Source organism: Homo sapiens, chromosome 4, assembly GCF_000001405.40.
Source record: "Homo sapiens chromosome 4, GRCh38.p14 Primary Assembly".
NCBI lineage: Eukaryota > Metazoa > Chordata > Mammalia > Primates > Hominidae > Homo > Homo sapiens.
In genome coordinates this window covers 171,943,211-171,958,844 of record NC_000004.12, presented here as the reverse complement: position 1 = coordinate 171,958,844, position 15,634 = coordinate 171,943,211, and the positions used below count along the sequence as shown (strand labels likewise).

General features: G+C 32.6%; 1 protein-coding gene across 2 annotated transcripts in view, besides 1 other annotated feature; it reads right to left on the bottom strand.

Annotated features, from left to right (window-relative positions):
- The window catches only part of GALNTL6 (polypeptide N-acetylgalactosaminyltransferase like 6), a 1,228,156-nt gene that overhangs the window by 1,082,715 nt on the left and 129,807 nt on the right, over positions 1–15,634 (bottom strand). The window lies entirely within an intron of this gene.
- Positions 11,153–11,447: a silencer, noted in NCBI's record as "tiled region #892; HepG2 Repressive non-DNase unmatched - State 24:Quies". NCBI's record gives its function as "represses a minimal TATA promoter and a strong SV40 promoter by Sharpr-MPRA in HepG2 cells {active_cell/tissue: HepG2}" and the evidence as "EXISTENCE:reporter gene assay evidence [ECO:0000049][PMID:27701403]".

Below are 15,634 nucleotides of genomic sequence, written 5' to 3'. Positions count from 1 at the left end.
TGAATATAAAATCACAACATATATTTGAGTCAAAGAAATATAAATAATGGGCTATGTAATGACTGTAGAAAACTGATGTTTATCAATGCATTACATTTTTCACATCTGTTTTCAGAATTTATTTTTCAATCACAAAGAGGAAGATTAATTGCAATTATGTGATTGATCATAGTTGATATGGGAGTAATGTAAAGTTTGTAAATATCTAGGATATTCAGTTAAAAAAGTATTTATATTTAACATTGACAGTGAATTGTGACCATTGAAATTGTACAAAATTCATTTATCTGATAACAGTAAAGACCTAATATGATTATTTTCAATATTTTGTGAACTTCTTCTCATAGAAATGACTCTCTTTCCTAATTTTTAAAATATACTTATTGATACATGTTAAAAAAACAAAAATTTTCCCATTTGTAAACATTTTCCTTCAATGCATATTCCGTCCACCCTGAAAGCATTAGCTTAGTTTTCATGTGATATCTTCCATAGTTTTAATATAGAAAAAGACTTGTGTATTTGTTCAGCTGTTTATGCATTAAGTCATGGTTTTATGGATGATATTTTGTTGCATTCTTACAATCAGCCTTCAATATCTGTGGATATCACACAAAAGATTATATTTTCAAATCAGACTTGGGTGTATCAGAGATTTTAGTGAAGTTCAATTATTACCAATAATTTCAAGGATATCAGTAATCACTAGGAAGAGGTAAAGCAGTGAGAGGTTTCAAACTGTCTAACGTATATGTACATTTTCATTCTTACTGCATTAGAATGTGCTCTAGATTAACATGTGAGGCCATATTACTTACACAAAGGTGCTTTTCTGATCATAAAACATAAACGTTTTACATGCAGGTTCATTATTTATGCTGTCTTTTGTCCATTGATCCCCAGTTATCACAAGCAATTCAACCTAAGTGCATCCAGCAAAATGGATACCTTAGGTTAGGATTCCCGCTAGAAAATACCATTTTTTTTGTCAAATATGTTAGCATACTCACGAGGACATCTGAACAGGTCAGTTACTTACTTTCTTCCCAAAGACATTCCCTATTCTAAAGGGAGAGAATGGATTGTACACCTGCTCTTTACCTGTTGACTTCTTATGAGTCAGATAGGTCATTTCAGTGTTAGCTAATGAAGGGCAAGACTAAGGTAGACAGAGGTTAAGATAAATTAAAGAGTTAGAATTCCTAATTAATATATTCTTAAAATGCCGCAATGCGTTGATAACTAGACAACAGTTTTCTGGTCAGAGTTGTGAAAACTGGAAAAGTAAATACTGTTCCTCCACGCATTTAATGAAGGTGACACCATCTCCTCATATTTCTGTTTCTTCCTTTTTCATAGATGTCAGCAGCAAGGTTGGCTGTCCATAAATTTTAGTTTCTAAAACACAGAGCGCAGCCTTTACCAGGGACCAAAGTGAGTAATGTTTCCTTGGGTTTTAAAGCTTCCCAGTGTGGACTATAAAACTACAATTATAAATATATGCTTTTATAGCAACTTATTTTTTGACAATTGCTTAGGGAATAACCCACATTGTAAAAGCAGCAGCATATTTTGCTATTCATTCATGTTATTAATTTAACATGATTTAATTAACGTTTATAAAGTTCCTACATATCTGTCACTACACTAAGCCATAAATCTACAGAAATTAGAGGTTAGACCTTGTCTGTTCAGTAAAGTCAGAGATGGCCTTCCTGAGAAAACTACTTTTAACAGACCTGAAGGATGTGCAGGATTTAGGTACACTACAAAGTAGAAAGAACATTCCCCGCAGTGAGGCCATCATGTGGCAAGACCTTAAGTCCTGAGCTGGGACGATGCCCACTGTATTTGAAGACCTAAGAAAGGTAAGGATAGTTAGGTCAGAGTGACTGCTAAACAGCAAGGCAGGATGTGAGATTTCAGAGTAGGCAGTTTCTACAACTCGGAAGGCTGGCTCTCTGATGAGAAATGAGAGTGGGTGAAGTGGTAATATTTGAACAGAGAGCTACATAAAGTAAGAGAATGAGTCACGCAAAGGAATAGGAGAGATGCATTCCAGAAGAAGAGAATGAAAAAAGCAAAGGGTCTAAAGTAGAAAGTTTGGCATTTGAGAGAAACAACAATAAAGTCAATGCATATTTATTTATGTTGTAATAGTTTTGCAACTGATAAAGAATTTAATTTTAAAAATGATAATAAAACAATGAATATTTGTATGAAAGGTGAATATTAACATAAACAATTCACAAAAGAAGAAATATGAAATTATCATTAGTGATCAAAAATGAAAATTTAAAAAGCCAAAAATGAGTTTTGCTAAACGTATTGGCAGCAACACAATTGATTGTACTTGATCTTGATAAAGATGTGTACAAGGATGGTTTTTATCAACCCTGTCATATACAAAGAAGTTCCTCTTATTTATTTAAATAATTCTAGGAATTTATCCTTAGGAAATAATTGGGTAATTCCACAAAGATATATGTCTAGGGAGTATACTATATCATTTAAAAATAATTTTGAAGTACTAATAAATGGCTGGGTACAGTGGATCACACCTGTAATCCCTGCACTTTGGAAGGTTGAGAGTGGGCAGATTGGTTTAGCCTCGCCGTTCAAGACAATCCTGGGCAACATAGTAAAATGCTGTCTCTACAAAAAATACAGAATAAATTAGCCAGGTGTGGTGGCGCATGCCTGTAGTCCCGCTACTCTGGAGACTGTGGCGGGAGGATCACTTGAGCCCCAGAGTTTCAGGCTGCAGTGAGCCATAATTGCACCACTGTACTTCAGCCTGGGTGACAGGTGACAGAATGAGGCCCTGTCCCACACACACACACACAAATTAGTAAGTAACAAATATTTATTAAAAAGAACATAAATACTGTTTTATACCAAAAACTATAATACTTTGCAGCTAATAAAACAAAATATGTACTTTTAACTAATTGCATAAGGAAAAGCTTCAATGTCTTTTTGGGGGAAAGCAAGTTAAGAGTATGTTGAATTTAACAGTTTAATGGTAACATGTTATATATATGTAACATGCTGCCATTTATATATATATATACACACACGTATACACACACAGCCTTTTGTAGATCTGAGTTCTGCATGTGGAGATTCAACCTATTATTGATAAAAATATATTTTAAAAAATTTGCATCTGTACTAAACATGTACCAACATTTTTTTCTTGTCATTATTCTCTGAACGATACAGTATAACAACGATTTACATAGAATTTACATCGCATTAGGTATTTTAAGTAATCTAGAGATGATTTAAAGTATACAGGAAGATGTGCATAGGTTATATGCAAACAATATACCTTTTATTTTGGGAACTTCAGCATCCTTAGATTTTGGCATGCATGAGAGGGCAGGGGAGTCCTGGAGCCAATCTTTCATGAATATCGGGGGTCAACTGTATGTGTGTGTGTAAACATATATATATATAGATAGATAGATAGATATATTTCATTCGTATTATATATTTTATACAAATAAAAAGGTGTATATATATTATATGAATAAAAATGGTTTTAAAGAGCATTTGCTAAGAATTTCAGTATTGTACTTCGGTGGTGGAATTAGAGACCAAAGAAAGTTTCTTTTGTATGCTTTATTTTTGTTTTTGTTTCTTGCAATGTAAATAAAAGAAAATCACTCAAATTGTGAACTATTTCTTTTACACAAGAGGTCCTCAGCCTTACATTGACTGTCAATTTACTTTATATTCAGTTGTTTACATCATTAAGTAATCAGATATTTTAAGACTTCTGTATTAGTTCATTCTCACACTGCTGTAAAGAAATACCTGAGACTGGGCAATTTATTTTTAAAAAGAGGTTTAACTGGCTCACAGTTCAGCAGGCTTTACAGGAAGCAGGGCTGGGGAGGCCTCAGTAAACTTACAACCATAGTAGAAGGCAAAAGGGAAGCAGGCACTCCTTACATGGCCAGAGCAGGAGGAAGAGAGACAACTGGAAAGTGCTGCACACTTTTAAACAACCAGGTCTTGTGAGAACTCACTCACTGTCAAGAGAGAAGAGAGGGGGAAGTTCACACCCATGATTTAATCACCTCTCACCATGCCCCTCCACCAACATTGGGGATTACAATTCGACAAGAGATTTGGGCAGGGACCCAAATCCAAACCATATCAACTTCTAAAATAATGTTTAATTGATTGTCTAATTTCCCAATACTTATTCAGATTATTTTAATGAATATTTAGAAATATTGTTTCACAAATATGTATGTACTTATCTATAATCTCTTCCCCACTTCTCCCTTGTGTATTTCTTAATTTTGCATATTTTAACTTTGCATGAATCAGAAGCATCTGTATTCTTACGTAATTTGCAGTATTTGTTGAAGATGACTTTTGTGAACTAAATTTAATTTACTTTTATTGCTACATAATTGTTCATTGTATAACTATACAACACAAGCTAGTCCTCATTTTCTTATAAGTAGGCATCATGATTATGTGTTTTTATATGCTACAAAAATGTTTTTTTGAAACTTCTATTGGACTTTTTCTATTACATAGTGCAAGAATTGCTCTGGAGCAGTGTATTTCAAATCATAAATCACAACTCTTCATTGGCATGAAATCAACCCAATGAGTTATGAATAGAATTTTTAAACATAATTGATAGAATACAAAATGACAGAGTGCCATTCACAAAATAAGGCTACATAAATTTTAATTACATTTTTCTTATTTTTTTAGCGTATGTGCTTCAATCAAATGAAGTTTGAAAACCACTCCTCACATTATATTTGTGAGTAGATTTTCTGGTCCATAAGGTTTGCACATCAACCTTACTAGACAGTGATCATTTCTTGAACATTGTTATGCCAGTTAATATGTATACCAGAAACCCATAATAAGATTTGTTTAAATTTTTCCATTGTAATGACTTTTAAAATGTATTCCTCACCAATTGTTAATGAGGTATTCTTCTTATGTTTATTGTCTATTTCTGTTTGATTTTCTTAAAAATAAATCCCCATGCCTTTACTGTCTCTTGGGCTATTTCTCAATTATCTGTGGAATATAAAAATATATACTCTTGATATTCATTATTTAGCAGTTATTTGTGTCATTGGCTTGTATTTGTCCTCCATGTATGTTGCTTTTTCATACAATTATACTCAATTTTAATGTAAAGCTGCAAATTCTATTTCTAGGAGATTCTTTCCAAAACTAAAGTGAATTTCTCCTAAAGATTGAATGTCTTGTATTTAGGTCTGTAATTTTCTTTAAGGAGTTTTAATATATGCTATAAGGTAAAAATAAACTTCCATATTGATAATTAAAATCCAAGATCACTTATTGAATGTTTCATCTCTTTTTCACCTATTTGCAATGCCAATTCTGATCAATGAATTTTCAACACATAAGGGGTTCTGTTTCTTAGCTGATTGTTGTATTGATCTGTTTTTCTACTCCAGATCCAATAGCATGTGGACTGAAAGTAGTAAGTCTTAATATCTGTCATTCAAGTCTTTATACTGCTGCTAATTTTCCTTCTGTATCTTGGCTCTTCCTGACTCTTTTTTCTTACACACACACACACACACACACACACACACACACACACACGTGCGCATGCGCACACCATTTTAATTTTGATTAGAATTCTATTGAATTTATGATTAATTTGGGGTAACCGACTATGCTGTTTCACTATCCATAATTTTTTAGCCCTTTTTTTCATTGCCTTTCAGTAAAGTATACTTTTCAACATTATGTCCTTACGCCTCTTTGAATAATTTGGCCCCTAGTTATCTTGTGTTTAATTTTCATTGTAAATGCTAACTTTCTAAAAATATATTTTCTTTTTGATGCTGTGATTTAAAATAGCTAACTTGCTAAATGATGTTATTAATTCTAGCATTTAATTTTTAGATTTTTCTCATTATTGATGAATAATTTCAAGCTCTTTTCCTTTCTTTTCAAGGTTTATATATTTATTACTTTCTAAAGCTAATTAAATCACTATAACCCAAAGGTACAGGATTTTGAAAAAAGTGATTATAGTGCATATCATGATTACAAAAGAAATGATCCTTATTTTTACTCATTAGATCAGGCATTCACCATAGATTTAGTGTAGCTCTCCTATGTTAGAATTACAGTTATATTTTTAGTTTGCTAAAAGCTATTATCATAAGAGATTTTAAATTTTATCAAATGTTTTTTCTTTCCATTGAAATGATCATGTAATTTTGCTACTTCAATTTGAATTTATTAAATGATTTCAAATGTTAAACAGCATCCCTAAAAAATTGAACTTGATAATAAGTCATTGAAATTTTTACACATCACTAAATTCAGAAACATCAATATATATAGGCTTTTGCATTTAATTTAATAGTTGAGATTGGTTTATAATTTTTTTCTCATATTGTATATATTGAAATTTTCTATTTTTTAAAACCATTTGAATAAGAAGGAGAAGTACTTGTTGCTTGAATATTTAGTGAAATTTTCAAAACAGTGCTTTAGGAAAATTTTGGATTCACAATTCCATGTACTTTATGCTTATGGGGCCGTTTCTATTTTCAATCTCTTTTTGACTCCGTTTTAATCAGTGATATACTTCCATAAACAAAGCCTGGTCAATTGCCTTTAAATTTATTGACATATGTGTTTTCAAATATATTTATCTCCATTAATATCCCTGCACCATCTGCACTAGTTTATCTCCATTCCAATACTTTTACTTGATCAATTTTGCAAACTCTTTAAATTAGTTACTTTATTTCAAAGAATGGTTTTTTTGTTACTCTATTACACTTTGTATTCTATTTCATTAATTGCTGACTTTATACTCATTATTTCTTTCCAAACTTTCATTTTTAAAATATTTTACTAGTTTATTGGGCATGTAACTCTGGGATACATTGCTCAATAATGTGCTACTTATTTCTGTAAGAGTTCAGGTTACAAACTAGCTTCTAAATTATTGCTATAGCTTTATCCCTCAAGTTTTGATATGTTATTAAAGTTCTATACTATTAGTAGAAGTGTATAATTTAGCGTAATTTCTTGATTCCGTAGTAATTCAAAAGTGTTTTAAATATTTTCCAGCAATTTTTTCCGCAGATTTCTTACTTAATTCCAGTTTTTAAAAATTGAATGTGTTCTGAAAGATATTATCTATTTGACATTTTGAAATTAGTATCCATTGTGTAGCACAAGTAATTTTTAAAAGTGCTTAATTATATATTATCTGTTGTGTGTATGTGAGTGCACAATGTTTTACTTATGTCCAATATATAAAAGTGTTAATATTTTTTAGTATTTTAAATTTTTACTCGTGATTTTTATAATCTCTTACTTGCTGAGAACTATTTGCTAAAATCTCCCATTTTTGTTGCATTCATTAATTTCTCCTTGCAGTTAAGTAAAAGGTGATATAGCATAATTGAAAACATTTTATCATGTACATTGCATAACATACAAACATTACAATATTTATAAGCATTATAATACTTACATATTTCTAGCTTGTTTAAAGTTATATTATTATGGAGTCAATTTTATCCTCTCTAGTAATACTTTTTGCCCCAATGTCTATTTGCCAAATATTAATATTTAGAAAATAATTCTTTCTTCTGTTATTTTTTTAGCAACTTCTTTTCTTCCTTTTTCTTTCAACCTTTCTATTTCTCATGTTTAATTGTATCTGTCATATACAACACACACCTGGAATGTTTTTAAGTCTAATATGACAATCTGTTCCTTCAAATAGTGTGTTTATTCCTGGTACATTTATTAAATAGACTGATACACTTGGATATGTTTCTATAACTTAATTTTATACTTTCCATGTGTCCTGCTTTTTCTAGGTTACTTCTCTGTTTCTTTTTTCTTGATGTATTTTATATTTTTCTTCCTTTTTTACATTTCATTCTCTCTATCAGTTTTAAATTCTGTACACCCATTCCATAATTTAATGTGCGTCTTAGAAATAATAACATAGGTAATCATCTCAGCAAGTCTAAAATAATTTGTGTATTGTCTTCTCCTTAAAATGATTTTACTGGCTGGGCGTTGTGGCTCACACATGTAATCCCAGCACTCTGGGAGGCCGAGGCGGGCGGATCACAAGGTCAGGGGATCGAGACCAGCCTGGCTGACATGGTGAAACCCCTTCTCTACTAAAAATACAAAAATTAGCCTGGCGTGGTGGTGCCCGCCTGTAGTCCCAGCTACTCGGGAGGCTGAGGCAGGAGAATCGCTTGAACCTGGGGGCAGAGGTTGCAGTGAGCCAAGATCGAGCCACTGCACTCCAGTCTGGGCAACAGAGCAAGACTTCATCTCAAAAAAAAAAAAAAAAGAAAAGAAAAGATTTTACTTTGCTCACCCACCTATCTGTGTCCAGTATTTCAGTTCTTTATTAACTCCACAAACTTCATCCTATTGTTGATTTATAAGGTTGATGTTTTCTCTTTTTTAACCTACGTTAACTAATTTTTTGCTCTCTCTTCCTTGTTATGATTCAGACCTTCCCTTCCCTATTACCCTAAGTACATTCCTTATCATTTTTGAGTGAATTTCTCTTGTTTCTTTGATCTGTTATTAAAATGCCTTTATCTTGAATTTATGCTTCAATGATATTTTTGACAAGTATACAATTCTAAGTTGACTGTTATTAAGTTATGACAAAGACAATATTCCAATCAATTCTAGATTCTATTTTTAGTAATGAGGAATCAGCTCTCAGTCTAACTATTGTTTCTTTGCAAAGAATACCTATTTTCTCGCCAGGGCTATTCTCAGATCTTTGGTACTCTGTTTTGCAACTCTGATGGTTCTACTGGATGGCATTTAATTTTTCCAACTGGAGATTTATTTTGAATGGGTGGAATTTACATCTTTCATCACTTATCTCTTTTAATATTGTCCCCGCCCAAACCTCCTTTTTAAAATCTTTTTACAACTAGGTTGCCTTATGTATCTCTTAGCCTCTCTTTTACGCATTCTACCATTTTATCCCTCCACACTTCTTTCAGAATCATTTTATATAAAATTTCTATTTCATTTACTGTCTTTCTTCACCAATTTCATATCAACTACTTAACTTACTCATTGTGTGATTCATTAATTATTATATTTTTTCTCTGCTGTCATTTTTATAATATATTTTTACTTAGTCTTGCTTTTGACACTTTTTATTCTAGTAGGTGCATTCATCTACTTATTCTGTAATTTGAATCTGAGAATTTCAATATCTGCAATACTTTCCACCTCAATCTACTTTCTGCCCCTCACCTTCACCCTCTTTTATACATTACGCTTTTTTCCCCTCTCAGGTTTTGTGATTTTTAAAAAATTGTTAAGCATAATCAAAAAAGTTTATCTGTGAAAATCTTTGAGGCCTGAATTGTTGTTGCTTAGCTTCAGAGAGGATTTGTATTTATTTCTTCCCCTAGCCTGGACATTCTAGAAACCAAGAACACAAATATAAATTTCTAAAGTGAGTACTTGGGGACCACTCAAGAAAGAGCCCAGGTAAAAAAGATACATTTGCTTGTTATTGCTATGTAAGGTTTGTTGTTTTCTTAATGTATCTTAAAGGTAAACTGATGACACAGTCCTTTGGTAGTGGGCTCCCCTACAATGCTGGGCAGAGCCTGGCCTCTGTGCACTCTCTCCTGCTTTCCCCAAGGCCATCAGAATAAAAAACTCAAGTTCATGTGGGATTAGCAGAGAAACCGGCTGCCAGGACTCTTTGGGTCACTTTTCTAGATTCTTGTTCTCAATTCCTTTTTGGACGCACTCTGAATACTTTTTTTATTGTCATGTCAACTCAGTGAGTGTGTGTGTATGTCTGTGTGTGTGTGTGTGTGTGTGTGTATATATATATGGCTTGCGAGTCTGTCATACTGTTGAAAAGACTGTCCATATTATTCTGCAATTGACTTTTTTCTCATATGGGACAAATGCCAAATACAAAGCTGGGCATCATTTGCTAACAGTAAATTTTATTGAGATATTGCCTATTTTTCAGGAAATGTGTTGATATTTTATTTCATCATTGCAAAAACAACCAAAGGGAAACAGTCATTGATGGAAGAGAAAATGTTTGCTATGTTCAAAGAGAGAGGAAAAATATCATAATATTATTGCGTTAATATAATATTAGCTTAAACAGCATAAATTGTTAAGGGCAAGTTTTGTATCCATTTATTTTATAGTCTATAGATATGCATGTAGTAACACACATATATTTCAAATTTTATTTATTAAAAGGGAGATAATGTATTTGCAGAGTGTTAATATTAAAACACACACACATGCAAGCACACACACATTTCAAAACTTCATATAATTTCAAAAAAGCCTAAATTACACAGAAGTTTCATTAGTGGCAAATTTACCCCAGCTTTATTTACGCACATGGTATATACATTTACACCCAGGGCCATAGCCACTGGCATATCTAAATTACTTTATATACTACTTATTACAGTTTAGAATGGAATTTTCCCATATTGTCAGAGCTAATAAAATCTCAACATCAAGTCCTTTCAGTCTTATGACAGGTACCGCAGACTCATACCCCAAAGTGGTTTTCTTCTCTGACTCTGACAGCTTCAAGGGAAATAAAGAGGCTCTGTGCCATTCACTGTCATTTTTTTTTTCCAAAAATTGAATTTTCTTTTAAAGATCATTTTCTTTCTAAATCCTTCATAAATGAAACAGAACAAAATGTTATGTCTTTGTTGCTGTGGTGTATAAAAGATATTACAGTATTCCCCCCATCTCACTATTACATAAATGAAATAGTGAAACCTTGTACCTAAGTGAGAAATGGGAAGAAAAAGGTGCTATGTGAAAATATATAATAACATTTATATGAAAATTCTTCAAGAGTCAGTTATTAGAACCCTCCAAGTCCATCACTAATAAAATGAGAATTAATCAGTTAACTGAAATTAATAACCATTGACATTTGTGAGACTTCCTCTAGTTTCAGGCTTTTCAGTTGATAGGGCTCTGGTGCGTCACTCAAACTCCAGTACATATTAGGCTGCTAGTGGAGGTGAGGGTGAGTTGATTGAATAATACATTTTTTCCTCCACCCCTGTTTCCCAGATTGAACTGAACCTGGGTCATGTGGACCAGAGGAGATTCATCCTGAATCTACTATTAGTCTTTGTCATGCCAGCTTTCAGTCCTTTGTAGACAGGACTGAGGGACTAGGCAGTGAGTTAAGCAGCCATTCATCTCCCTATAGTCAGTTCACTCTTTGTGTGTTGTTTCCTGTCAGCACTCTGTTGTGAATACAAGTGGTGAAAACATTCAAGTCCTTCACCCAATGTATCTAAAAGAGAAAGAAGTGAGTTATTTGACTTAAGGCAGCATTCTGTTGCCTCTGCTCTGACCTAGATATATTACTACTGGTAAGGCAGGCAAAAGTTAACCCTAACCATGCTCAGTGCAGATGTTTCTTCCCTTACAACCTATAATTCATATTTTCTGTTCTAGAGTAAGCTTCTCAACCCTGCCAGGTGCAAGTAGGTGGTATTTGGAGTAGACGTGAAATTTTTGTTAAAAATGATTATTAACATCGACAAGTTAAAAATAAAATGTGGGAGAAAGCAAAAGAGGTGAATGACATAAAAATGAAGGAAGGAGCACAATTTAAATACATGCGGAAAGAGAGATAATGGATAAGAATTTAAAGAGGAAAGGGGGTAGGTTGTACTTATATGTAAGAAAGTATTCAAAAATGAGAACAATTTTGAAGAACAAAGAGGTAATAGCCAGTTATTCTTCATTTTTCCCACTTTTTCATCTCCCGACATCTAATCCATTTTCTAAAGATGAGCCAGGGCAATCTTTAAATAGAAACAAGACATTTTCACTTCCTTGTTTAGAAGCTTTTATTTGTACCCCCCGGAACTTAGTAAAACATATGGAGTCCTTACCGGGGTCTTCTTGTCTCTGCCCTACACTCTGGAGTTGTTCTAGACCTTCTCTTCTGGCCCCTCTCTGTCCCTCTAACATGCCAAATCCTTTTCCTCCAGGACTTTGTACCAGATGCTCCCCCTGCCATAAATGTTTCCCTCATGACTCTTCACAAGTGTCCCATTCTACTCATGGCATTGGAGAGGCCGCCTCTGACTAGCTTATCCAAAGTATGTTATCTCTTCACTCAGTTTATTCTCTTCATAACATGTATCACAATCTTCAAAGTTACTCTCCTCTCATTTGTCTACAAGTTTTCTGCATGTCCCATGAGAAGACGAGCTCGATGAGGCTTACTGAATGCCTACTGTGCAATACGCAGCTCAGAGCAAGAGACAGAGAGATGAATAACATCCACCAAGGGGTTTATGTCTTCTGATGTGAACTGGCTGGTTAAGGAGAGGTAGAAAACTCTACCCAGGAATTGCTTAAGAAAAAATATGTGCTAAGGCTGTAAAAGCAGTAACTAGACAATATTGTCACAGGTGCATCTAACAATTTTTGTTTGTACTTTTCCTATTTTAGTCATTGTTCTACTGACTTAACTTTTTATTATTTAAACTTTTCTTAATAAGGAAATAGCTTATATCTCCTGTGACTCTGACATTTTGATTTTGTAAATACGTATTTTTCAGGAATGAAAGGTATTCTAATTTCTAATCATTGAAATAGTAGATATTAGGACAGTTTTGGAACATTCTGAAATTCTATTTGAACTACAAATTTTGTATTGGCAATACCCAGCTTGCTAATTCTATCTGTTAAGCTGCTTATGTGTATATACCATAACCTCTTTCTACTATCACATTAATCCAAAAAAGCCATGCACAAATTTGCTTGATTTTTTTCAGTAAGCTCTTTATAAGCGTAAGTCAACATTTATTAATATGTTTTCATTGTCAACACAATATCCAGTCACCTGGGATTGCCTCAAGATTCATATCCAGTAATTTTATATTGTGACTATAATTGAAAGAACAAGTTTCATAACTATATACCTCCCAAAACAGAATAATGTCTTTAAATTTGCAAGCAAATTTTGAGCCTGATATCAAAAGCCAGACTGAAAAACAATTAAATGTGGTTATTTTTTGCTTGCAGTGTACCTTCCATTTTGTTTATCATAATGTATGCATGTTTTATAAGCTCTTCCCCGAAACCTAAGAACAAATCTTACTTTATGTATGTCATGCTATTATTTTAAATTCTTTATGAGCAGAAAGACTCAAGAGAAAAGGAAAGTTTATGTCTGTTCTATATGCCAATAAAATACTAACATCAGTACTACATAGTTTATAGAACTTGCATGAAAACGAATAGATTGATCAATAGACATTGATTTTCAACTTTGATTTTATTTGCCACTTGGGAGTCATGACAAATGTGTGTATTTCACAACACTCTTCACTGCATTGCTGCTTATCCTTTTGGTTTCATCTAGCAGCTATTAATCTTCTCTTATGCCTTAAAAACTTTGAGAAAAAATAAGAATTCTAAACAGGTCATAATATCCCCACAAGTAGCTATTAATGGACATATGAACGCTTGAGTGCACACCCAAGAGTCATCTTTAATGCAAATTCTCAGTCAATGATATTACCAGCATCTGTTTCAATGATGTTTTTTGATATAAATTTTAGAATCTAAATATCAACATGCTAGGTATCTGGAGAGTTGGTTGTAAAGGGGAAATTTTATGTTTTTTAAACATTCTGTTCAAATAAACACTTCGGAACTCAGCTACTTATTGAAATTTCAGAGTCTGAATAAGAGAGCTCCTTCCCGCCATCTTCTCAAGAGGCATTTACCTAGGTATGACTTTTGATTCAGCAAACATTGTCCTGCCACTAATATTTTCTATACTCTTTTACTTCTGATTGAAAAAGAACAGAACTTAGAGCAGGCTTTAGGTAAAATAAATAAATAAATAAAATATTATAAAAGCATAGGTAGCTAAGGACTTAACTGATATCATTATCAATTAGCTTCAACAAAAGACAAATTATTAAGTACAGGTGAGATTTTTTTTTTAAGTATCTTTGTATAATGCAACAATAAATTTCTTTTGAGTGTTAAAACTGGTTATAACTTACATATTAGTGAAGAAATGCATACAGGATAGTTAGAAACCTATATGATGACTCATTTTCCTTCTCACACCCAGAGGAAACTTAAATATAACTCTCCTACCTGTCTAAGATGGATTAGAAATGAATGTATTTTCTGATTTATACTAAATCAATAAATATATTTAAAAGCATCTCAAGGTCACAAGCTTTTGACCAAATCATAAGATTATAGAATAATAGGACTTTTTCTTTGAAAACACCAGTAGAAATCACTGTATCCAAAACCCTAATTTTATTGTTAAGGTTACAGAGACTCATACTAAATGTTTAGATGGGTGTCAACTAAGTAAACCTGATATTAATCTCATTCAAGTCTTTTTAATTTTGAAGCTGTGGCGTAGATCACTTAGTCTTCATACTGTTTAGCAATATCCTAAGGAAAGTAGACACTTAATATTTTTATGGAATAAACTTCTTCTATTCCAACACAATGTTGCATCTGAATGTTTTCCCTAAAATATAGAAAGCTACAATTAATAAGGTATTAAAATTACAAGTCATGGACATCTGGGGGTGGATCTTCCTATAAATCAAAATTATCTATCTTTTAAGAAATACTTTATTAAAGTGTTTGGATGCTTTTTTTTATAATGAAAAGATATACTTATTTTTTTCTTATCATTTGATTGCTGATATCATTGTATGTAAATTACACACAGACTCCAGAAAGTATTTTCATTTTACTAAGGCAAGTCTTATTACAATTTAGTTTAGGATATAATATGTTCTTCTATAATTTCTAGAAGGCTTAGGTTCAAATATGGAGTTAAAGAAGAAAGCTAATTCACTTAACTTAAGAAAATTATACCACCTTTGCATTCTAGTCTCTTAACTATAGCATTGTCAAAAATAGCTTACCTTAAAAAAAGCCTACCCGTAGGAAGAAAATCTATAGAAATCCTAAGGGAGCAATAAAATTATATCCATGGATTTGAACTTCAAGGAAAACATTAACTCAGAAGTGATTATCTTCTGTTTCTCTTTGCATTTGAATTCTTTCTTCTGAGAAAGCGTTAAGAACATAAATGGTTGAGAGCAAGAAGACCAGGGGATTCAGATGAAATCAAGTAGCAAGCAAATACAGATTTTTTTAAAGATCTTTTACAATAACATTGCCTTGAGAAAAGTAAGTTGAGAGTTAGTTGGTCTAGCATGTCTACTAGTAGATCACACACTTTAAGTAAGAGAGACAAATATAGGTGGCTACTTATCAGAGAGTGTTGAATGTAGTGAAACATTTAATATGTAATATTTCTAAATTTTGCTGTATTAAGATTGTAGAAGAATTTCAGCAATCAAGAAGTAAAATTCCATCTCTAACTTGGAAATCCTAAAAGTCAATAAATGCATGAAAATTTGACTTCTATTTCTGGTATAGGAATCCTTTGGAAGGCTACCGATGAGAGAGAAGGGGAATCTTTCAGAAACTAAACCTTGCTCACAGATGAGGTCTGGTGCCCGAGGGGCATCATGTCCAGAGTTACTGATGTACTTGTGAATATTTT